The sequence below is a fragment of the Homo sapiens genome, chromosome 2 (assembly GCF_000001405.40).
Source record: "Homo sapiens chromosome 2, GRCh38.p14 Primary Assembly".
Lineage (NCBI taxonomy): Eukaryota > Metazoa > Chordata > Mammalia > Primates > Hominidae > Homo > Homo sapiens.
The window spans coordinates 99,128,849-99,153,424 of NC_000002.12; the positions used below are offsets into that span (position 1 = coordinate 99,128,849).

The following is a 24,576-nucleotide window of genomic DNA, read 5'->3' on the forward strand; positions in this document are numbered from 1 at the left end:
GCAATCTTCTCACCCTAGCCTCCCAAATAGCTGGGAACACAGGCATGTGCCACCACAATTGGCTAATTGTTTTAAATTTTGTAGAGTCAGGGTCTCCCTATGCTGCCCTGGCTGGTCTTTAACTCCTGGGCTCAAGAGATCCTCCCGCCTAGGTCTCCCTGGGATTACAGGCATGAGCCACTGCACCCAGCCAACACATTCTTAATACATATATTCAAAAGTATTTTATCATCTGTTCAATGAGCCTTGCCCTCACTATTTTCTCCATTTAACTTAAGACATTTTTAAGGCTCAGCTGGAATTCCATATTCTCCAGGTTTTCTCTGTCTTCTCCACTGCATAATGATCATCTCTTAATTGATATTTATATATATAGAAGAATTTATGTTCTAAATTTTTCTGGATGTCTTCCTCACACATTTATTAGACTCTTAAGAACAAGCAATGTCCAAAAACTCTCTCTATCCCCATTAACCTGCACAGTTATTTACGTAATAAAAAGTGTCAAAAAATTTGTTGAGGTTGATAATGAAGCAGTGTGATAAAGCATACAAAATTAAACTTTCTTCCTCCTCTTTGGTAAACCGAATAAAGTGGGGCTTTTGCAAAATTACCTATCAGGCCCAGCTAGGAATTAAAAATAGCAAGAGACCACAAGTCCACCTGACAATCCTAACCAATCATGCTGGAGTTGCTATCCTCCCTCCACCAGCTTTGGGGGCAATATCACTAGAGGAAAGACACATCAGTGTATCTGAAATTCCCATGCCTGGTCTGCCAGCTTCCCTACCTCAGGCCACATAAATATCCTCAACCTTGCTGCAATCTCATCATTAGAATGGAACTTGTGCTCCTGTACCGTTCTCAGAGAAGGCAAGTGAAACAATGTTCCTTCTTAAAAAAAATTATTTTTTCTTTTTTATGCTATCCCTCCCCTAGGCCCCCAACTCCCTGACAGGCCCTGGTATATGATGTTCCCCTCCCTGTGTCCATGAGTTCTCACTGTTTAACTCCCACTTATGAGTAAGAACATGCTGTGTTTGGTTTTCTGTTCTTGTGTTAGTTTGCTGAGAATGATGGTTTCCAGCTTCATCCATGTCCCTGCAAAGGACATGAACTCATCCTTCTTAATGGCTGCACAGTATCCATGGTGTATATGTGCCACATTTTCTTTATCTAGTCTATCATTGGTGGGCATTTAGGTTGGTTCCAAGTCTTTACTATTATGAACAGTGCTGCAATAAACATACATGTGAATATGTCTTTAGAGTGACTTATAATCCTTTGGGTATATACCCAGTAATGGGATTGCTGTGTCAAATGGTATTTCTGATTCTAGATCCCTGAGGAATCGCCACACTGTCTTCCACAAATTAGTTGAATTTACACTCCCACCAACAGTGTAAAAGCGTTCCTATTTCTCCACAACTTCTCCAGCATCTGCTGTTTCCCGACTTTTTAATGATCGCCATTCAAACTGGTATGAGATGGTATCTCATTGTGGTTTTGATTTGCATTTCTCTAATGACCAATGATGAGCTTTTTTTCATGTTTGTTCGCTGCATAAATGTCTTCTTTTGAGAAGTGTCTGTTCATATCCTTTGCCCACTTTTTGATGGGGTCGTCTGTTTTTTTCTTGTAAATTTGTTTAAGTTCCTTATAGATTCTAGATATTAACCTTTTGTCAGATGGGTAGATTGCAAATATTTTCTCCCATTCTGTGTTTCCTGTTCACTCTGATGATAGTTTCTTTTGCTGTACAGAAGCTCTTTAGTTTAATTAGATCCATTTGTCAATTTTGGCTTTTCTTGCCATTGCTTTTGGTGTTTTAGTCATGAAGTCTTTGCCCATGCCTATGTCCTAAATGGTATTGCCTAGGTTTTCTTCTAGAGTTGTTATGGTCTTATGTTTTATGTTTAAGTCTTTAATACATCTTGAGTTAATTTTTGTATAAGGTGTAAGGAAGGGGTCTAGTTTCAGTTTTCTGCATATGGCTAGCCAGTTTTCCCAACATCATTTATGAAGTAGAGAATCCTTTCCCCATTGCTTGTTTTTGTCAGGTTTGTCAAAGATCAGATGGTTGTAGATGTGTGGCGTTGTTTCTGAGGCCTCTGTTCTGTTCCATTGGTATATATATATTGGTATATATCTGTTTTGGTACCAGTACCATGCTGTTTTGATTACTGTAGCCTTGTAGTATAGTTTGAAGTCAGGTAGCATGATCCCTCCAGCTTCGTTCTTTTTGCTTAGGATTGTCTTGGCTATATGGGGTCTTTTTTGGTTCCATGTGAAATTTAAGGAAGTTTTTTCTAATTTTGTGAAGAAAGTAGATGGGGACAGCATTGAATCTATAAAATACTGTGGGCAGTATGGCCATTTTCACAATATTGATTCTTCTGATCCATGAGCATGGAATGTTTTTCCATTTGTTTGTGTCCTCTCTTATTTCTTTGAGCAGTGGTTTGTAGTTCTCCTTGAAGAGGTCCTTCCCATCACTTGTAAGTTGTATTCCTAGGTATGTTATTATTTTTGTAGCAATTGTGAATGGGAGGTCACTCATGATTTGGCTGTTTGTCTATTACTGGTGTATAGGAATGCTTCTGATTTCTGCACATTGATTTTGCATCCTGAGACTTTGCTGAAGTTGCTTATCAGCTTAAGGAGATTTTGGGCTAAGACAGTGGGGTTTTCTAAATATACAATCATGTCATCTGCAAACAGAGACAATTTGACTCCTCTCTTCCTATTTGAATACCCCTTATTTCTTTCTCTTGCCTGATTGCCCTGGCCAGAACTTCCAATACTATATTGAATAGGAGTGGTGAGAGAGGGCATCCTTGTCTTGTGCTGGTTTTCAAAGGGAATGCTTCCAGGTTTTGTCCATTCAGTATGATATTGGCTACAGGTTTCTCATAAATAGCTCTTATTATTTTGAGATACATTCCATCGATACCTAGTTTACTGAGAGTTTTTAGCATGAAGGGGTGTTGAATTTTATCGAAGGCCTTTTCTCCATCTATTGAGATAATCATGTGGTTTTTGTCATTGGTTCTGTTTATGAGATGGATTATGTTTATTGATTTGCGTATGTTGAACCATACAACTTCATCCCAGGGATGAAGCCGACTTGATCATGGTGAATAAGCTTTCTGATGTGCTGCTGGATTTGGTTTGCCAGTATTTTATTGAGGATTTTCACATCGATGTTCATCAGAAATATTGGCCTGAAATTTTTTGCTGTTGTTGTTTCCCTGCCAGGTTTTGGTATCAGGATGATGCTGGACTCATAAAATGAGTTAGGGAGGATTCCCTCTTTTTTCTATTGTTTGGAATAGTTTCAGAAGGAATGGTACCAGCTCCTCTTTGTACCTCTGGTAGAATTCAGCTATGAATCCATCTAATCCTGGGCTTTTTTTTTGGTTGGTAGGCTATTAATTACTGCCTCAATTTCAGAACTTGTTATTGGTCTATTCAGGAATTCAACTTCTTCCTGGTTTAGTCCTGGAAGGGTATATACCCTTCCAGGAATTTGTCCATTTCTTCTAGATTTTCTAGTTTATTTGTGTAGAGACGTTTATAGTATTCTCTGATGGTAGTTTGTATTTCTGTGGGATCAGTGGTAATATCTCCTTTATCATTTTTTATTGTGTCTATTTGATTCTTATTAGTCTGGCTAGCGGTCTATTTTGTTTATCTATTCAAAAAACCAGCTCCTGGATTCATTGATTTTTTGAAGGGCTTTTCGTGTCTCTATCTCCTTCAGTTCTGCTCTGATCTTAGTTACTTCTTATCTTCTGCTAGCTTTTGAATTTGTTTGCTCTTGCTTCTCTAGTTCTTTTAATCATGATGTTAGGGTGTTGATTTTAGATCTTTCCTGCTGTCTCCTGTGGGCATTCAGTGCTATAAATTTCCCTCTACACACTGCTTTAGCTGTGTCCCAGAGATTCTGGTATGTTGTGTCTTTGTTCTCATTGGTTTCAAAGAACTTAATTCTGCCTTAATTTCGTTATGTACCCATTATCATTCAGGAGCAGTTTCTATACAGTTGCGTGATTTTGAGTGAGTTTCTTAATCCTGAGTTCTAATTTGATTGCACTGTGGTCTGCGAGACTGTTATCATTTCCATTCTTTTGCATTTGCTGGGGAGTGTTTTACTTCAATTATGCGGTCAATTTTAGAATAAGTGTGATGTGTTGCTGAGAAGAATGTATATTCTGTTGAGTTGGGGAAGAGAGTTCTGTAGATGTCTGTTAGGTCCGGTTGGTCCAGTGCTAAGTTCAAGTCCTGAATATCCTTGTTAATTTTCTGTCTAGTTGATCTAATATTGCCAGTGGGGTGTTAAAGTCTCCCACTATTATTCTGTAGGAGTCTAAGTCTCTTTGTAGGTCTCTAAGAACTTGCTTTATGAATGAGGGTGCCCTGTATTGGGTGCATATATATTTAGGATAATTAGCTCTTCTTGTTGCATTGATCCCTTAACCATTATGTAATGCCCTTCTTTGTCTTGTTTTGATCTTTGTTGGTTTAAAGTCTGTTTTATCAGAGACTAGAACTGCAACCCCTGCTTTTTTTTGCTTTCCATTTGCTTGGTAAATACTCCTCCATCCCTTTATTTTGAGCCTATGTGTGTCTTTGCATATGAGATGGGTCTCCTGAATACAACACAACAATGGGTCTTGACTCTTTATCCAATTTGCCAGTCTGTGTCTTTTAGTTGGGGCATTTAGCCCATTTACATTTAAGGTTAATATTGTTATGTTTGAATTTGATCCTGTCATTATGATGCCAGCTGGTTATTTTGCCCATTAGTTGATGCAGTTTCTTCATAGTGTTGATGGTCTTTACAATTTGGTATGTTTTTGCAGTGGCTGGTATGTTTTTCATTTCCATGTTTAGTGCTTCCTTCAGGAGCTCTTGTAAGCCAGGTCTGGTGGTGACAAAATATCTCAGCATTTGCTTATCTGTAAAAGATTTTATTTCTCCTTTGTTTATGAAGCTTAGTTTGGCTGGATATGAAATTCTGGGTTGAAAATTCTTTTCTTTAAGAATGTTGAATACTGACCCCCACTCTCTTCTGGCTTGTAGGGTTTCTGCAGAGAGACCCAATGTTAGTCTGATAGGCTTCCCTTTGTGGGTAACCCAACCTTTCTCTCTGTCTGCCCTTAACATTTTCTCTTTCATTTCAGCCTTGGTGAATCTGACGATTATGTGTCTTGGGGTTGCTCTTCTCGAGGAGTATCTTTGTGGTGTTCTCTGTATTTCCTGAATTGGAATGTTGGCCTGCCTTGCTTGGTTGGGGAAGTCCTCCTGGATAATATCCTGAGGATATTTCCAACTTGGTTCCATTCTCGTCACTTTCAGAGTATACCAATCAAAGGTAGGTCTGGTCTTTTCACATAGTCCCATATTTCTTGGAGGCTTTGTTTGTTTCTTCTCATCCTTTTTTCTCTAATCTTGTCTTCATGCTTTATTTCATTAAGTTGATCTTCAATCTCATAGCCTTTCTTCCACTTGATTGATTCAGCTATTGATACTTGTGTATGCTTCACCAAGTTCTCACGCTGTGTTTTTCAGCTCCAACAGGTCATTTATGTTCTTCTCTAAACTGGTTATTCTAGTTAGCAATTCCTCTAACCTTTTTAAAGGTTCTTAGCTTCCTTGCATTGGGTTAGAACATGCTCCTATAGCTCAGAGGAGCTTGTTATTACCCACCTTCTGAAGCCTACTTCTGTCAATTTGTCAAACTCATTCTCTGTCCAGTTTTGCTCCTTTGCTGGCGAGCAGTTGTAATCCTTTAGAGGAGAAGAGGCGTTCTGGTTTTTGAAATTTTCAGCCTTTTTGTGCTGGTTTTTCCTCATCTTCATGGATTTATCTGCCTTTGGTGTTTGATGTTGGTGACCTGCAGATGGGGTTTCTGGGGTTTCTGTGTGGACGTCATTTTTGTTGATATTGATGCTATTCCTTTTGTTAGTTTTCCTTCTAACAGTCAGGCCCCTCTGCTGCAGGTCTGCTGGAGTTTGCTGGAGGTCCACTCCAGACCCTGTTTGCCTGAGTATCACCAGCAAACAGCAGAAGCTGCAGAACAGCAAAGATTGCTGCCTGTTTCTTCCTCTGAAAGCTTCGTCCCAGAGGGGCACCCACCAGATGCCAGCCAGGGCTCTCCTATATGAGATGTCTGTTGACTCCTGCTGGGAGATGTCTCCCAGTCAGGAGGCATGGGGGTCAGGGACCCACTTGAGGCAGCAGTCTGTCCCTTAGCAGAGCTTGGGCACTCTGCTGCTCTCTTCGGAGCCAGCAGGCAGGAACATTCAAGTCTGCTGAAGCTGCACCCACAGCCACCCCTTCCCCCAGGTGCTCTGTCCCAGGGAGATAGGAGTTTTATCTATAAGCCCCTGACTGGGGCTGCTGCCTTTCTTTCAGAGATGCCCTGCCCAGAGAGGAGGAATCTAGAGAGGCAGTCTGGCTACAGCAGCTTAGCCAAGCTGTGGTGAGCTCCACCCAGTTCGAACTTCCCACCAGCTTTGTTTACACTCATTTGGAAATGCAGAAATCACCTGCCTTCTGCATTCATCTCACTGGGAGCTGCAGACAGAATAGAACAGTTCCTATTTGGCCATCTTGCCAGCCACTAAAAAATTATTTTTAATTTATTCTTTATTTTTTTCAATGTGAAGTCTAAAATAAGGAAGAACTTTTATTCTCAATTAGGAAGTCACACAGCAGAGTGGTTAATATCATGTATTTTGGTATCAGCCTGCCTACATTCATTATCCTAGTTCTGCCACATCTTAGCTGTGTGATCTTGGGCGACCTGGTTACTTCTCTGACTATAGCTTCCTCATTTATAAAACAGGGATGATAATAAGAGTATCTGCATTGGCTGGGTGCAGTGGCTCATGCCCATAATCCCAGCACTTTGGGAGGCTGAGGCGGGCGGATCACCTGAGGTCAGGAGTTTGAGACCCACCTGGCCAACATGGTGAAAACCCATCTCTACTAAAAATACACAAATTAGCTGGGTGTGGTGGCAGGCACCTATAATCCCAGCTACTCGAGAGGCTGAGGCAGGAGAATCACTTGAACCTGAGAGGTGGAGGTTGCAGTGAGCCAAGATTGCACCATTGCACTCCAGCCTGGGGGACAAGAGCGAGACTTCGTACCAAAAAAAAAAAAGGGTCTGCATCATAGAGTTGCGTGAGGAGTAAATGAATTAATATATGTTTTAACTTTAGCACTTAGAATAGTGCCTGGCACATGATAAGCACTATATATATTATTTACTATTATTACTAATTCCTCTCACTGAGTCAACTTATTTAATTGGCTATCAAGTCCTACTGCTCTTTTCACTAAAAATTATCTCAGTTACATTTCTTCCATCCCTACTATCACTGTTTTAGTTCATGCTTTCAGACTGTAGCAGTCACATGTATTCACTTTATATGTAAACTTATAAATAGCTAGAATAAGAATGAACCAGAAATATGTTTCTGGGGATAAAAAGATGTAAAACAAATAGAATCTTACAATTTCAACCCTAAATGAATCTAGGAAAGTCCAGAACAAATAAATCAGAAATTACACCACAGCATGATTACTGCTACATCAGAGTAATGCACACAGATGCTAAGGTAACACTGAGAAAGAAGCTACAAAAAAAGTATTTCTGCCGGGCGCGGTGGCTCACGCCTGTAATCCCAGCACTTTGGGAGGCCGAGGCGGGCGGATCACGAGGTCAGGAGATCGAGACCATCCCGGCTAAAACGGTGAAACCCCGTCTCTACTAAAAATACAAAAAAAATTAGCCGGGCGTAGTGGCGGGCGCCTGTAGTCCCAGCTACTCGGGAGGCTGAGGCAGGAGAATGGCGTGAACCCGGGAGGCGGAGCTTGCAGTGAGCCGAGATCCCGCCACTGCACTCCAGCCTGGGCGACAGAGCGAGACTCCATCTCAAAAAAAAAAAAAAAAAAAAAAAAAAAAAAAAAAAAAAAAAAAAAAGTATTTCTGACTTCTACTTCTTCAAAAAAGACTTAGGATCTACTCTTCATTCCAAAAGAACTATGAACATATCCCTTCTGGAGCACTTAATGCATTATATTACTTTTATGGGATGTCCACAGCCATGGCTACTTTAACGTGTCTAAAACAGACTTCCTTTTTTTTTTTTTTTTTGAGACAGTCGTGCTCTGTCACCCAGGCTGGAGTGCAGTGGTATGATCTCGGCTCACTGGAACCTCCACCTCCCAGGTTCAAGCAATTCCCTGCCTCAGCCTCCCAAGTAGCTGGGATTACAGGCACCTGCCACCATGCCCAGCTAACTTTGTATTTTTAGTAGAGATGGGGTTTCACCATCTTGGCCAGGCTGGTGTTAAACTCCTGACCTCATGATCCACCCGCCTCAGCCTCCCAAACTGTTGGGATTACAGGCGTGAGCCACTGCACCCGGCCAAGACTCTGCCTCTTAATGTGATCACCTTAGGGGTTAGAATTTCAACCTAAAAATTTTGTGAGGACACAGAAATTCGGACTGAAGCCACACATTAGAGGAACAGAAAGAAAAAGCTATTGGGCGAACAAAGAAGGGAGTACTAGATCTTGTAAGTGAAGACAAGGGCCAAATCATGTAAGGCCTTACAAAGTTTGGATTTTATTTTTAATTGCAGTGGGAAGCCATTGGTGTATTTTTGAGCCAGGATCATCTTATTATAATTTTCTTTTTCATTTTTTTTTCCCTCTCCCTTCTCCCCTCCCACAGGATCTCATTATTTTGAAGTGATTGATATGATATCAGTGTGGAGAATAGGTTGTAGGGAGCAACAGTGGAAGCGGAAAGATAGCAGGGAATGGTTGCAGTATTTTAGGTGGGAGATGATGGTGACTTGGACCAGGGAGGTGGTAACAAAAATATAGAGAAGTGGATGGATTTAGGATATATATTTGAACCAACAACATTTGCTAATAAATTAGAAGGGATTTATTGCAGTGAGCCGAGATCGTGTCACTGCACTCCAGCCTGGGCAACAGAGTGAGACTCCATGTCAAAAAAAAAAAAAAAAAGGCACAGCCATGATGAGTTGCCTGTATATAATAGGCCCCAGAGAGCTCCCTTGCCCCTTCTAACATATGAGGACAGAGTCTGAAGGTACCATCTATGAACCAAAAAACCTCAGACATTGATTCTGCTGGCAACTTGGATCTTAGAATTCCCAGTCTCCAGAACTGTAAGAATTAAATTTCTGTTGCTTATATGTTATTTCATTATAGCAGCCTGAATGGACTAAGATATTTGCCAGTAACATTTGACTTCAGGTCCTCTGCTCTTGCTTTTCCTCTCTCAGGAACACTTTCTACCCAGCCTTTCACATGGCTATCTTCTCACCCTCAGCTCTTTGGCTGAAATGTCAGAGGGTCTTCCCTGACTTCTTACCTAAAGTAGCCTCTCTCCTAGTCACTCTCTCAAATAAGTGATAAGCTATTTGCACTTATCACTACTTGAAATTATATCATTTGCTGACTTGTTTACTATCTCCCCATACTAGAATATAAAATTCAAGAGCTCTAGGCTTTTGTCTTGTCTCTGTTTTATCCCTAATGCCTTAAAAGTGCCCAGCACAAAGGTGAAACGCAATAAAACATTTTCAAAATAAGAAAATTTAATGATTCGAACAAAGCAGTTTCAATGGTGGGTGAAAACAAGTCTGAAGGGGACTAATGAATGAATAGTAAAGAAAAAGAAATGGAAAATGTAAACTTCTTTTAGGAAGCATGATTGTGAGAGGAAGAGAGGTACAACAAAGGTGGAAGACAACCAAGGTTGTGGAAACGTCATTATGGGAAGAGAAAAACTTGTTCCTTAATTCTCTTTACATAAGGATCCTCTTTCAGAATTAAAAGTCCTGCATCCTCTCCTCAGAAAAATGCAAATACACCTTTACAAACAATTTCAGGGGATTTAAGACTCTATAAGGTCCTTGGACTCCAGGTGAAGAAGCCCTACAGTACAGAAACAATGAAGATTCCTAAGGCATGAGTTAATGTTAATTGATGGAGAAAGACAGCTGAGGTAATAAGAGGAAACCCAGATAAAGATGTATTGCCCCGACACAAGAAAGACAAAAGCAAGGACAGGTGAAGATTTAGACACTTGTAATCCCAATAATCCCAACACTTTGGGAGGCCAAGGCCAGAGGATCACTTGAGCCCAGGAATTTGAGACCAGCCTGGACAACATAGTGAGTTCCTGTATCTACAAAAATTAAAAAATAAATTAGCCAGGCATAGTGGCATCCACCTGTGGTCCCAGCTACTTGGGAGGCTGAGATAGGAGAATCACTTGAGCCCGGGAGGTCAAGGCTGCAATGAGTCATGATCGCACCACTGCACTCCAGCCTGAGCGACAGTGAGATCATGTCTCAAAAAAAAAAGGTAAGTGTCATGGAAATCTGAGGAAGTTTCTGTCTGGTTGAATTTTAATTTTTCAGTGAAACAGGAGCTAAGATTATATAATAAAAAGTATCATCGGTGTTGAGCAAAATATGAAGCACATAATATGTATTCAACAAATTATTGATTTTTTGATAGAATGGAAAATACTGGAGTACTTCAATGGAATTCTGAAATCTGGTTCCACAAAAGCTTACTACAGTTGAGGTGGGTTTTTCTTTTTAAAAATATTGTCTCCAAAAGTGTAGACTTATAGACATTGAAGTAGAAAGGAACTGCCTCACTAACAGAAGGATGTGGAAAACCATACAAGATTTATGAATAATTCTGAGAGAGTATTTTATATAATAAAAATAAGTGGATAAATATTTTGGGAAACAATCAGCAAACTAAATACTGCGAGCAACAATAAAGATTAATCTTAAAAAAAATGTTGAGTAAAGAAGCAAGATGTAAATGAATACTTAGTACAATTCCATTCGAAGTTCAAAAACAAGCCAAACTGTAATGTGCATGTTCACATACAATGATGTGAAACATTAAGGAAAATCAAGGAAGTGGCTATCTTAGAAGTCAGGAGAGTGGCTATCTCTGGGGAGGGAAAGAAATATGTAATCTGAAAAGGTGATAAATAGTAATACCTCTAACTGCCTCTGTGTATGGAGGACTTCAAAACCAAATCGTCCTAAACAAACTAGTCTAAGCAACTCAAAAAGAAGACAGAAAAGATCTCCCAGAGAATCTCTACACCTGATTATATTCTGGGCTACAGGCAGTGATTTTTCTTCAGAAGGTAAACAGTACGCGAGATATTGTGGAAGCTGCCATTAAATAATGCCAAAGTTTAGGATTTAAAATTAATATTTAATTAATGTACCGTCCTAGTTATTTCCCACTAATTAAGACTGAAGAGTTTGGCTCATTAATCAATTAAAATACAAACAAGAATCTGTCTTATCCTGGAAGCAGATTCGAATGCGACATCCTACTTCTATAACTAACCTGTTTTTTTCTACTTACAAACCTATTGTTATTCTACTTATGTCCTTACACGTAAACAAAGTATACTTGAAATGCTGAACACCAGTACAGAAAATTTTAAACAAGGAAATCTCCTAGGATATAAGGTCCTGGAATGGAAGAAGGAAAACGTTGGGACACTATAATCTATGCAAACTTTCCCGAAGCTGCGAAAAAAAAAAAGTGAAAAAAAACCATATTTCTGTGAGTTTTTAGGTATCAAGTCCATGATCACCTAGTTATCCAATTTAAGTCTCAAATAGTTTTTCAACAAAAGCCAGCTTTCCCTGCCTTTACTGTGTATAATTTTTACTAAAATTATCTGAGATTTTCATGCAAATGCCTATGTAATCTCAGCCTTTCACCACCCCAAGTCTAGAAAGAGGCTCAGAAATGAGCGATCGGGAGTCAGGCTGAACTCCCAAATCTGTGACTTCCAAATTCCTCGGCTCCACCAGAGCTTCCAGAGCGTTTCTAAACTGAACAGTCTCCCCAACAACCAAGCGGAGAGCTGCGGGAGGACGCGAAGCAGTGACCATAGGAACTGGGCTCAAACCTAACCTCCCAAGAAACAGGGGCAACTCGTGCTGCCGAGCTTCCGGCCGGCAGCTGTGCCCGCCGCTGCCCCTCACAGCCGCTCCCGCTGCTAGCGCCCAACTCCGCCCGCCACGGCCCCGCACCCGCCACTCCTGCCCGCTTGCAGCCGCCTTCTCAGAGACCTTCCAGTCCAGTAGCAGCACTCTCCCCACCCCGCGCACCTCCGCAGCTTCTACCTGGAGCTCCGGGTCCCTCCCCGGGCTCCTCGGCCCGCCGTCCTGCCCAGAGCTCATCCCCGCGACTGTCAGCTCTCGGCCTCAGCGGGGGATACAAGAACCGCCCACTCTCCATCCTCCGCCCCTTTCTCCTCCCTTCCCACCCCCAAATCGTCCTGGCCCCGCCCCGGCGGATCGGAGGAAGGACGGAGCCCGCGGGAAGGAGGAGGGGGCGGTTAGCGCCAGCCAGTGCCGCCGTGGCCCCGCCCTCACGCTCTGTACCGGAGTGGGGCTCGTCTTCCACCTCCCCGGCGCCCCAGCTTTGCTTCCGTCCCGCTCGCCCCCAGGCCCGGTGCGCACGCGTACCTGGCTCGACCTTCCTTCTCGCGGGGTCTACAAGCCGTGCGCGCGCTCCTACGCACGGAGCGACGCGTACGTCTACCTGCCTGCCTTACAGGGCACCTAGGAGGGACCCCTTCCTGGCCCATCCGCGCCGCGCAGGCGCACGCCCACGCAGCGCCTAGACGCCCGAGCCGAGCGTCCCGTCTCCTAGTAACCAGCCGCTAGCCCCCTTTTCCACGACTCATTTCTTAATCTCTGCCTGAGGCTGCCGCACCTGGATGGAACGCGCATGCGCAAGGCTGTCTCTCGCAGCCCCGCCTTCCCTCAGCTTGAAACACCTGCTGCTTCGCGGCGGTGGCTTTGTGCCACTTTTCCCAGGGCTTGGGCATCATTCTGGACCCATGTTCGGTGAACCGGTTACTCTCAGAGCTGCTTTCGGGCGCAGCTCCTGCTGCAGCCAGGGCCCGTTTTAAGAGAGGCTTCCAGGTCCAGCCCTCCCGCTGCAGCCTGCAGGGAGCGAGCCGGCCTGTCCCGGTGAGCGTGGGCAGCCTGGAGTCAGGGGAGCCTGGGGACCACGGCCTTGGTCAGCTCTGCACGATCAGGGCTGAATCAGGAAGTGGCAGATCTAGCAACAAAGTCCAGATTCCTGACCGATATTCCTTCTCCACATGCCAGTCCTTTTCCAAATCCCCTCACCTTAAAGTGACAAATGAGCTTTTTAGTGAAAAAGAATGAGCGCTGCATTCTTCTACCAATTTTTTGGAGCCCAGAATGGGGGGGAAAAAAGTCTTCTTAATTTTTCTTAATACCTACCATGTCCCTTCTTAAATAACTCAAGAGCTTCTGGATGATAATGGTGACTTTATCTCCTTTTCCTGCAGATGACATAGACACTAGGTTTTTACAGCAATTCTCTGATGACCTTGATATGGTAGAACGCTGTGTATTTCAAGAGTAAGCTCTCGTTTGAGGAGACTAACAATTCCTGTTTTCGCCAGGTGAGTACTCATTTTTCCCCCCACAAGATATCATTGGCAGGGATAAACAACTTTTGTGTAGAACAAATTTAGTCATAAAAATACATTTAATATAAATGCCATGTTTTTCCAATGTCTTTTCATCGTGTTATTACATGGTCTCATATTTTGTCGCATTTATTTTCAGATATCATATACTTTGTAAGTATAATTAGATACCAAAAAAAATTAAGTGTCCCTGTTATTTTAGATTAAGAGGTTAGAGGACACAAGGAGCACATATCCTCGGAAATGTAATTTTTTAAATGCACAAAATAACAAACTGAGAAGTTATGTTAGAGGGAATAATGTATAATCTCATTTCCTCTTCAGATACTAAGATTATTTTGAATACATTATCTAGCATTATTAAAAACAAATAGGAAAGAATGTTCTAAGTTTAAAACTATCAGCTGGAGTTGAAGACTTCGGGGGTGGGGAGATTATTAATATAGGAAGTAGGAAAGTACTTCCCTTATAGAAAGAATAAGAAAAGTTTAAGCACTTATGTATGCCACCTAGACGGTACTGAAGATTATTTGGAAAGAATATAAGGAAATGATCATTTTAAGGCCAAAAGAGGGTGAAAAGATTTTCCTTTTTTTTCCTATCAAGAACTGTTGACTTTCTCCCCTAACCTGAGAAAGTAAAAATTTCCTTCCCTCTGTGGAAACCCAAGGGGTAGTGAGTGTCCCACCCTGCCCCAACTAAACCTTTTTTTTTTTTTTTTTTTTTTTTTTGAGACAGAGTCTCACTCTGTCGCCCAGGCTGGAGTGCAGTGGCACGATCTCGGCTCACTGCAACCTCCGCCTCCCGGGTTCATGCCATTCTCCTGCCTCAGCCTCCCAAGTAGCTAGGACTACAGGCGCCCACTACTACGCCCAGCTTTTTTTTTGTTTGTTTTTTGTTTTTTGTATTTTTAGTAGAGACAGGGTTTCACTGTGTTAGCCAGGATGGTCTTGATCTCCTGACCTCATGATCCACCCGCCTCAGCCTCCCAAAGTGCTGGGATTACAGGTGTGAGCCACTGCGCCCAGACTTTTTTTTTTTTTCCTTTTTTTTAAGACAGAGTCTCACTCTGTTGCCCTGTACCCAGGCTGGAGTGCGTTGGCATGATCTCAGCTCACTGCACCCTCCACCTTTCAGGTTGAAGCAGTTCTCCTGCCTTAGCCCCTTGAGTAGCTGGGACCACAGGTATGTGCCACCATGCCCAGCTAATTTTTGTATGTTTTTGTAGAGATGCGGTTTCACCATGTTGCCCAGGCTGGTCTTGAACTCCTGGACTCAAGTGATCCACCCACCTCAGCATCCCAAGTGCTGGGATTATATGCATGAGCCACTGTGCCTGGCCCAGGCTAAGCCTTATATAGTACCCTGTGCTTGCTCTCTCGTGACAGACACCTTCTAAGGTCTTGGTTTTCTAGTCCCTTAATTTTTCCATCATTTCAAAAGCTTCACTACAAAAACCTCTGTTATTACTATTTTTTGTTTTGTTTTCACTGTCCTCTTCCTGATCCCCTCAAAAAAAAATCTGGGACTCCAATTCCATATGTGTTAAGCCACTTGATCTTGTTCCACAGCTCACTGATGCTGTGTTCCTTTTTTTTGTTTGTTTTTTTGAGATGGAGTCTCGCTTTGTCTCCCAGGCTGGAGTGCAGTGGCGCGATCTCCGCTCACTGGAAGCTCTGCCTCGCGGCTTCACGCCATTCTCCTGCCTCAGCCTCCCGAGCAGCTGGGACTACAGGCGCCCACCACCACGCCCGGCTAATTTTTTTGTATTTTTAGTAGAGACGGGGTTTCACTGTGTTAGCCAGGATGATCTCGATCTCCTGACCTCATGACCTGCCCGCCTCGGCCTCCCAAAGTGCTGGGATTACAGGCATGAGCCACCGCGCCCGGCCTGTGTTCCGTTTTTTAAATCAGAGAGTTTCCTCCTTATGCCGAGGCCTGAAAGTTCCAGGCAATGTCCATTCATAGGGCTCACTTTATTTCCTGTTTCTCAAGGATCACTCTCCCGAACTGCCTGTTGTCCAATATCTAAAAGCCATTGCTTCATGTGTTTTGTGTTTTGATGCTGAAAGCAGGCGGGGCACGGTGGCTCATGCCTGTAATCCAGCTACTCGGGAGGCTGAGGCAGGAGACTTGCTTGAACCCGGGAGGCAGAGGTTGCGGTAAGCCGAGATCGTGCCATCGCCCTCCAGCCTGGGGGACAAGAACAAAACTCTGTCTCAAAAAAAAAAAAAAAAAAAAAAGATGCTGAAAGCATGAGGATAAGTCTGGTCTCTGTTACTCCATCATGACTAGCAGCAGAAGTCTGCCATTCTTCACAGTTCCAGGCCCCATGTCACTAACTATCCTCAAGGGATGTGGTTTGCAATGCAAAAATTGCTTCAGGCTGGGGGAACTGTAAGTGCAAAGGTCCTGAAGCAGGAGAAGGTTTGGCATAGAATATGCTTGAGGAACAGCAATGGGGTGATAGGTCTGGGGTCGAATAAGGCAAAGAGACAGGAGAGAGTGCTTGCTAGTAGAGTTGTTTGCTACGGCTGTGCAACAATTTACCACACACTTGGTGTCTTTAAGCAACACAAATTTATTATCACACGGTTCTGGAGATTTACAAGTTCAAATTGGGTCTCACTGGGCTAAAATCAAGATGTCAGGCAGGTCTACATTCCTTCTGGAGGCTCTAGGGGAAAATCCCCTTTCTTGCCTTTCCAGCTTCTACTGGCAGCCCATGTTCCTTGGCTTGTGATCCCAGTCTATATTCAACGCCAAAAATGGCCAGTCAAGTCCTCCTCACATTGCATCATGGCTAACACATTCTACCTCCCTCTTTCACTTCTAAAGACTCTTGTGTGGCAGGTGCGGTGACTCACACCTATAATCCCAGCATTTTGGGAGGCCAAGGCAGGTGGATCACTTGAGGTCAGGAGTTCAAGACCAGCCTGTTCAACATGGCAAAACCCTGTCTCTCCCCAAAAATACAAAAATTAACTGATCGTGGTGGCAGGCACCTGTAATCCCAGCTACTTGGGAGCTGAGGCACGAGAATCACTTGAACCCAGGAGGCGGAGGCTGCAGTCACCCTAGATCACACCACTGCACTCCAACCTGGGCAACAGAGTGAGACTCTGTCCCAAAAAGAAAAAAAAAAAAGACCCTTGTGATTACATTAGTACCACCCAATTAATCCAGGAGAATTTTCCCACCCTCAGAGTCAGCTGATTAGCAACCTTAATTCCCCCTTGCCACATAACATAACATAGTCCCAGCTTCTGGGGATTAGGACAAAGACATCTTTGAAGACTATTATTCTGCCTACCACAGCTGGGGACCAGATATGTAGATAATTTTTTTCTCTGATATGGGAAGCAACTAGAGTGTGTTGAGCAGAGGACTGCTGTGATCTGGGTTTTGTTATAAAAGGTTCAAACCAGTCCAGGCATGGTGGCTTACGCCAGTAATCCCAGCACTTTGGGAAGTGGGAGGATTGCTTGAGTACAGGCATTCGAGACCAGCCTGGGCAACACAGTGACACCCTGTCTCTACAAAAAAAATGAATTTTAAAAATTAGCCAGATGTGGCCAGGTACGGTGGCTCATGCTGTAATCCAAGCACTTTAGGAGGCCAAGGAGGGCAGATCACTTGAGGTCAGGAATTCGAGACCAGCCTGGCCAACATGGCGAAACATCGTCTCTACTAAAAATACAAAAATTAGCCGGGCATGGTGGCAGGTGCCTGTAATCCCAGCTACTCGGGAGGCCTCAGCAGGAGAATCATGTGAACCCAGAAAGGCGGAGGTTGCAATTTCTTTGCAACTTGAATTTCTCTGATTCCTAGTTAATTATCTGTTTGGGATTCCTCAATCTGTGAATTATGTTTTTATATCCTTTGCCCATTTTTCTATTGGGTTTTCTTTTTCCTTGCTAATTTCTAGGTGTTCTCTTTTTATTCCAGCCATTAAATACCATCAGCTTTGGACACAGAAAATATCTCCTTCCAGTCTCTTATCTATCTTTTTGTTTATATTTTTTTCATTGAATAGAAATTCTCAATTATGAGTAATCAAACTCACTGTTTTCCTCCCTTATTGTTTAAGCTTTTTAGTCTTGTTCAAGAAATCTTTCTTCACTCCAAGGTAACAGATATTTTCTTCTATTGCATTTACAGTTCTGCCATTCACATTTAGGTCTTTAATGCATTTGCACTCCACTTTTTTTTCTTTTTGAGACGGAGTCTTGCTCTGTCGCCCAGGCTGGAGTGCAATGGTATGATCTCAGCTCACTGCAACCTCCACCCCCTGGGTTCAAGCGATTCTCCTGCCTCAGCCTCCTGAGTAGCTGGAATTACAGGCACCCGCCACCACACCTGGCTAATTTTTGTATTTTTAGTAGAGACAGAGTTTCACCATGTTGATCAGGCTGGTCTCGAACTCCTGACCTCGTGATCCGCCCACCTCAGCCTCCCAAAGGGCTAGGATTACAGGCGTGAGCCACCGCGCCCAGCCTACTTCTGTGTTTAAGATCCTGCTTATGTCCACATAGTTAGCCAATGTTCACGATACCATCATACTAAACTTAGTCTGTTCTATCTCCTTTGTCTTATAGTGCCACCTGTGATATATGTGAAGTTCCTGAAATACCTAAGTCCAAGTTACAGCTCTGTCATATTCTACTGATTATTTGTTCCTGTACCTGTACAAGGTTATTTTTATTACTTTCACTTTGTGGCATATCTTTTTGTTTTTTTTAATTTTTTTCTGATAGGGATGAGGTCTCCCTATGTTGCCCAGGCTGGTCTCAAACTGCTGGACTCAAGAGATCTTTCCACCTTGGCCTCCCAAAGTGCTGGAATTACAGGCGTGAGCCATTGTGCCCAGCCGCGTAGCCTATCTTAATATCTAGTAAAGAAAGCCACTTTGTTCTTTTTCTCCAGATTGATTTATCTCTTTATGTACCTTTATTCTTACATATATATTCCAGATTTCTTCTTGAATGGCAACCTAAATGCCAGTCCAAAGAGGCCCCCAATAGACTTGTTCACCCTTCATGTCCTCAACTCTGGGGAAGTTAAGGTAAGACTCACAGGGCCAAGTCTACCCTATTATACTTGGTTCCTCCTCAGTCCTTTTATTAGATTGAAGTTTAATGTGCAAATTGATAATTATATGTTACCATTCTTTTACGTTTGTTGATTTCAAATGCCATGTTTTAGAGTTTTGTGTTTTTTAAAACGTTTTTTCAATTTTGTATTTTGAAAAAGTTTTAAACCTACAGAAATGTAATAATAATAATATGTAGAACAACTTTTTAAGCTTTACCTCCTAGATTTAACAGTTGTTAGCATTTTGCATATTTTACTGTCTTTCTGTATCTATGTATCTATCTATCTATTGCTAAACAATTTGAGGGCAAGTTGCAGATACAATTCTTCACCCCTAACTATTTCAGTATGTATTTCCTAAGAACAAGGACATTGACTTATATAACCACAATACAATTATCATATTCATGGCATTTATCACATTGATCCAATATTATTATCTAATATTGTCCCATATCCAAATGTTTCAGTTATCTAAGTAATGATCTTTGTAGTACATTCCATCCCCTTCCCAATTCAAGAGCATTGGTTGCATCTGAAATAATGTATCTTTAGCCTCCTTTAATCTGAAACAGTTCCTCAGCCTCTCTGTGTCTTTCATAACATTGACATTTTTAGGTAGAAGCTATTTGTTTCATAGAAGATACTTCTGTTTGGGTTTATCTGATTGTTTCCTCATGTTTAGATTCAAGTTATGCATTTGACAGGAGTATTTCCTTTCTAAGAAAAAGAGAAACCAAATAGAATAAACTCAATTTTATTCATTTGAAGGCAGTATTAGATATTCCTTTGATGAGGAAGAAAAATTCATCTTCAAGTTCCAAATCTAAAAATCAAATATACCCATATTTCAGAATTTCATCAGAGATATTAAAAAATTTAGCTAAGTTGTATTTGAGTCCCAGAAAGCCAAATATATACTATTTACCTAATTGTTATATTAATATTTGAGTAAGTACTATATTTAGGCTACTACAGTAGACCCAGGACTCTGTTTTGTTATAAACACTGATATTCAGTCACAAATATGGATAAACAGGGTTTCAAGATGATTCTTTAGAAATGTTCAGTCAGTAATTACAGCTTGATGAGTATGAAATTGTAAACTATCAAAGATACCACAGTAGGTAAATATTAAAGACATAATACATTCTAAAAAGTGGGTGAGGCTGAGCGCAGTGGCTCATGCTTGTAATCCTAGCACTTTGGGAGCTGAGGTGGGTGGATCACCTGAGGTCAGGGGTTCAAGACCAGCCTGGTCAACATGGGGAAACCCCGTCTCTACTAAAAATACAAACGTTAGAGTTTCTGTTTGGGATGATTAAAAGTTCTGGAGATGGATGACCATGATGTTTGCACAAAAATGTAAATGTACTCAATGTCATTGAATTGTACACTTAAAAGTGTTTAAAATGGTAAATGTTATATATATTTTACCACAATAAATAAAATATAGACTGGAAAAAAAATAAATAAAAATAAAAATAAAAATACAAACATTAGCTGGGCCTGGTGGCGGGCACCTGTAATCCCAGCTACTCAGGAGGCTGAGGCAGGAAAATCACTTTAACCTGCCGGGTGGAGGTCCAGTGAGCCGAGATCGCACCACTTCACTCCAGCCTGGGTGAAAGGGTGAAACTCCATCTCAAAAAAAAAAAAAAAATGGGTGAGGGATTTCGATCGAAGCTGTGGAATCTGCTCCAGATCTCAGGTTGCTACTATAGCATCTTGGGTAGATCACTCTTCTCCAGTAAGCCCTGGGCTTTCTCAAACCTTTTCTGTACAGGAAGCCTGTCCCTTCTGCCATCCTGGTCAACTCTGCCTACCAAATTCCTGCCCATCTTTGAAAGCGAAACCCTAACCTAGGCTCCCCTCCTTTGGGAAACTTCCCAAGGCCTCCCTCCATGCTACATGATCATCTTTTTTTTTTTTTTTTTTAAGACGGAGTCTCGCTCTGTCGCCCAGGCTGGAGTGCAGTGGCGCGATCTCGGCTCACTGCAACCTCAGCCTCCCGGGTTCACACCATTCTTCTGCCTCAGCCTCCCGAGTAGCTGGGACTACAGGTGCCCGCCACCACGCCCGGCTAATTCTTGGTATTTTTAATACAGATGGGGTTTCACCATATTAGCCAGGATGGTCTCGATCTCCTGACCTCGTGATCCACCCACCTCAGCCTCCCAAAGTGCTGGGATTACAGGTGTGAGCCACTGCGCTCGGCCGATCATCTCTTTTTACAGACTAGACATCCTTAATCACAAGTATCTTTTTTTTTTTTTTTTTTTTTTTTAAGACAGAGTCTCGCTCTTGTCGCCCAGGCTGGAGTGCAGTGGTGCAATATTGGCTCACTGCAACCTCCGTCTTCCAGGTTCAAGCTATTCTCTTGCCTCAGCCTCCTGAATAGCTGGGATTTCAGGTGCATGCCACCACACCCAGCTAATTTTTGTATTTTTAGCAGAGATGGGGTTTCACCATGTTGGCCAGGCTGGTCTCTCAATCCTAACCTTTGGTGATCCACCCGCCTCGGCCCCCAAAGTGCTGGGATTACAGGCGTGGGCCACCGCACCCAGCCAATCACAAGTATCTTTATAGGACATCTTTATTTTTTACAGAAAATAAAGTACTAGCAGAGTACTTGGCCTTCAGTCGTTATTTCTTTAGCCCATTAGTAATGAATAAAGAGGTTTCGCTAGCAAGAATGAAAGAAAGGACTAAGAGAAGCTCTACTATTTTCTGAAAGGTGATAAAACATACAATCAGATAAATTTCCTTTTAAAAAGACTTTCAAATAAATCTTTAGAACCTGCAAACCCTCCCACAAAGAAAATGTAAACACTGAAAGGTAGGAGGCAATTTTACTTTATATTTCTAGTATCACCACAGCTTTTCATTCAAACAAACATTGCCATGAAGTTAGGGAAATTCCTGCTGCATTCACTTGTTACTTTTTTTTTTTTTTTCAGTAATCAAGTTGAAGAAACACTTCCACTACTTAAAAAGGTACCTGCAAATTACTTTCACATTTGTTCAGCTATCCTAATGGGATTTTCACTTAGTAAATCTGCTACTCAGGTATCTGCTATACATATGGATTCAAAAGTGGATGATCACTTAATACGAGGGACTGAAAAAAGCAGGTTGGAACCAGCGACTCAGTTATTTCAAAACACCAAGAAAATAAGATTAGAAGACACAAATCAAGAAAACTTTACAAGGATTGAAGGGACTGGCACAGGATCTCTTTCTGGGAAAGCCTTGGGTTCAGTGGTATATGTCAAAGAAAGTGATGGACTAGAAATGACAGATGTGGAATGAAGCAATTTGTACGTATTACCAAAGAAACCAAAAACTGCCTTTGACTAAGGGGGGTGTTGAAAGAGAACTTAACCTTATTAGGAAACCCTGACAAAATGATGGAAGACTATTGCCTTATTTTGCACTATTTGTGAATCATCTTACACTGCATTTTTTTATGATGCTTATTCAAAAGGCAGTTGCTTTAGGGTGAAAAAGCCTTCCAAGATTCAAAGCAGATTTCTCTGGTATTATATTATATCCTTCTTAAAAACCAGAGTTTTTAAGTAACAGTATTTGAATGGCATCAAAACATTTTCATTTTAATGTATTTCTTTAACAAGTGGTTAAAAAAAGTGTCCAAGCAGCCGGGCGCAGTGGCTCACACCTGTAATCCCAGCACTTTGGGAGGCCAAGGCGGGTCAATCACCTGAGGTCAGGAGTTCGCAACCAGCCTGGCCAATATGGTGAGACCCCATCTCTACTAAAAATGCAAAAAGTTAGCCAGGCATGGTGGTGGGCACCTGTGATCCCAGCTACCTGGGAGGCTGAGGAAGGAGAATCGCTTGAACCCTGGAGGCGGAGGCTGCACTGAGCTGAGGTCATGCCATTGTACTCCAGCCTGGGCAACAAGAGCAAAACTCCGTCTCAAAAAAAAAAAAAAAAAAAAAAAAGTCCAAGCAATGTGACATCCGTATTTCACAATATTTCTGGTGTATCAGTTTTGTATGTTACATTTCCATTTTGGGATTCTGCTTTATGATACTTTACTTTCTTACATTTTGCATTTTTGTTCTGTAAAAGATCACTGCCAATAAACTGCAAAAGACCAATAAATTGCATATCTTCAGAAGGATTTCACATTTTAAATCGTGCCTTTAAAACTGCTTTTTCCCCCCACATAGAATCCATTTTAGAGTTAGAAAAGTGTTCTTTCCAAGTGTTAATAGTTTGTCTTGCAGATGGTACCATTTTATGTCACCAATATTTAATATGAGAAAAAACAACCTGTTTAAAAACCTTGTTTTGTATATCAGTTATGAAAATATCTGGTAGTTGGAAATCTCTTTAATATTCATTTTAAAAGAGGAAAGGGCATCTTTTCCGGGGGGAAGCTATATTTTATTAATCAGAAAAATACTAAACAAATGTGTTTGTAGGGAATATTGAGAGTGAAAAACAATTGTTGAATGGGACATAAGCCAAAAAGACAATGCTTTTTATTATTTACAGAACGTAATTCTTTAGAAGAGAAAAAAAATACATAAATCATTCATTTGTTCACCTAGCCTGGCACTGTGCTTGGTGCTGGAGATACAGTAGTGAATAAAATAGCCAGTGCCTTGTAGAGTTTTGTGCCTGTCTACTAGGAAAGACAGGAGATTATACAGTAATTATATAAGATGCAAATTGTGATATGCCATGAAGAAACGTATAGCATTCAGAGGGACATAACACAACACAAGACATACCACATAAAACTGATTTTTTTTAAGATGGTCTCACTCTGTTGCCCAGGCTGGAGTGCAGTGGAGCGATCATAGCTCAGTGCAGTGTCGAATTCCTGTTCTTAAGCGATCTTCCTGCCTCAGCCTCCTAGTAGCTAGGATTACAGGCATGTGCCACCATACCCAGCATGTTTTTGTATTTTTTTAGAGACAGAGTCTTACAATGTTACCCAGACTGGTCTCAAACTCCTGGCCTCAGGTGATCCTCCCACTGGGCCATAAACTTGATTTTAACGTGGGAAATGGGAAAGCGTATCTCAGGACATTTTTGAAAGCAAGTTGATTAAGAAAGTAAAGAAACAGAATGGCTACTCCATAGAGCAGCCTCTGAGGACATTTATAGCTTTTGCAGTGACATGGTTGTCTAAGTGAATGATGGTGATGGTCATAAAAGTGGAGAGAAGGGGATAGAGTCCAGGTGAAGTCTGACAGGATGTAGTCATGGTTTGGAAGCGGAAAGTGAGGAAGAAGAAAGGGCTTCTGGCAAAAAAGGCTTTAGCCTTTATGCATGCAGGATCCCTGGGGGGAAAGAGTGAGTTCAGGAGCATGGCTTTTAGACTTACCAGGTTTACAAGGCAGTTGTATCTATGGAACTAAAAAATATAAATTTTGAAGTTGTATACAGAAATGGTACTTAGAGCCATAGAATGAATGAAATTGCTTAAGGAAAATGTAGTGTGAGATAAAGATCTGAGGAACTCCAACATTTAGGGCTGACTAGATCAGGGTAGCTGGCAAAGGGGACTGCGGAGTTGGCAGTGAGGCTGGAGGAAAACCTGGCAAAAGGGACTGAGGAGTTGACAGGGTAATGTCAAAGTTGTCCACAGGAATCTCCAGGTTGAGGTAGTCAAATGAACACTTAGATGAATACTGAAAAGTCCAGTGGATCTAGCAATATGAATGTCACCCGTGACCTTAGCAAAAGCACTTTTGCTGGAATAATGGGGAAAAGCCATTTTGGAGTACGTTGAAACAATGAATGGGAAGTGAGAAAGTAGATACTGGATGTATAGCAGTTTTTCCAAGAAGCTTGGCTCAGAAGGGTAGCAGACAGGATGACAAGTGGAAAGAGAAATGAGGTCACTGGAGGATTGTTAAAGAGT

The 24,576-nt window shown here is 42.0% G+C and overlaps 2 protein-coding genes across 24 annotated transcripts in view, besides 3 other annotated features; one reads left to right on the top strand and one right to left on the bottom strand.

Moving 5' to 3' along the window:
- TSGA10 (testis specific 10) overlaps positions 1–24,576 on the bottom strand; it is a 157,706-nt gene that overhangs the window by 131,588 nt on the left and 1,542 nt on the right. For 3 of the 22 annotated variants that reach the window (XM_047445933.1, NM_001349014.1, NM_182911.4), the window contains exon 1: positions 12,580–12,855. The exons of 9 other annotated variants lie outside the window; for them this stretch is intronic. Coding sequence is in view for 4 of the 13 variants with exons in the window: in XM_011511935.4 (XP_011510237.1) it covers positions 12,220–12,291 (72 nt within the window). In the remaining 9 variants the exon portion in view is untranslated. Of the gene's footprint in view, positions 1–12,219; positions 12,333–12,495; positions 12,856–19,415; positions 19,501–24,576 lie in introns of those variants that run through there. 10 more of the 22 variants (XM_011511935.4, XM_011511934.1, XM_017005037.1 and 7 more) reach the window with 4 other exon arrangements.
- Positions 12,119–12,188: a silencer, noted in NCBI's record as "silent region_11805". NCBI's record gives its function as "represses an Ori minimal core promoter by ATAC-STARR-seq in GM12878 lymphoblastoid cells {active_cell/tissue: GM12878}" and the evidence as "EXISTENCE:reporter gene assay evidence [ECO:0000049][PMID:35858748]".
- Positions 12,259–12,568: a silencer, noted in NCBI's record as "silent region_11806". NCBI's record gives its function as "represses an Ori minimal core promoter by ATAC-STARR-seq in GM12878 lymphoblastoid cells {active_cell/tissue: GM12878}" and the evidence as "EXISTENCE:reporter gene assay evidence [ECO:0000049][PMID:35858748]".
- Positions 12,790–13,596: an enhancer, noted in NCBI's record as "H3K27ac-H3K4me1 hESC enhancer chr2:99758101-99758907 (GRCh37/hg19 assembly coordinates)". NCBI's record gives its function as "activates a minimal SCP1, AML or CMV promoter by ChIP-STARR-seq in naive H9 embryonic stem cells {active_cell/tissue: H9 hESC(naive)}" and the evidence as "EXISTENCE:reporter gene assay evidence [ECO:0000049][PMID:30033119]".
- C2orf15 (chromosome 2 open reading frame 15) lies at positions 12,859–22,821 on the top strand. 2 transcript variants are annotated; one of them, NM_001317992.2, is made up of 5 exons: positions 12,859–13,089; positions 13,437–13,553; positions 18,179–18,274; positions 18,554–18,645; positions 21,635–22,821. In NM_001317992.2, the coding sequence occupies exon 5, from the start codon at positions 21,711–21,713 to the stop codon at positions 21,984–21,986; it is 276 nt and encodes a 91-aa protein (NP_001304921.2). In that variant the 5' UTR covers positions 12,859–13,089; positions 13,437–13,553; positions 18,179–18,274; positions 18,554–18,645; positions 21,635–21,710; the 3' UTR covers positions 21,987–22,821. The 2 variants fall into 2 exon arrangements, with proteins under 2 accessions (NP_001304921.2, NP_653307.2); NM_144706.4 differs by lacking the exon at positions 18,179–18,274.

Excerpts from the sequence above, each read along its gene's own strand:
- C2orf15 (NM_001317992.2), top strand. The coding sequence starts at position 21,711 with ATGGGATTTTCACTTAGTAAATCTGCTACTCAGGTATCTGCTATACAT.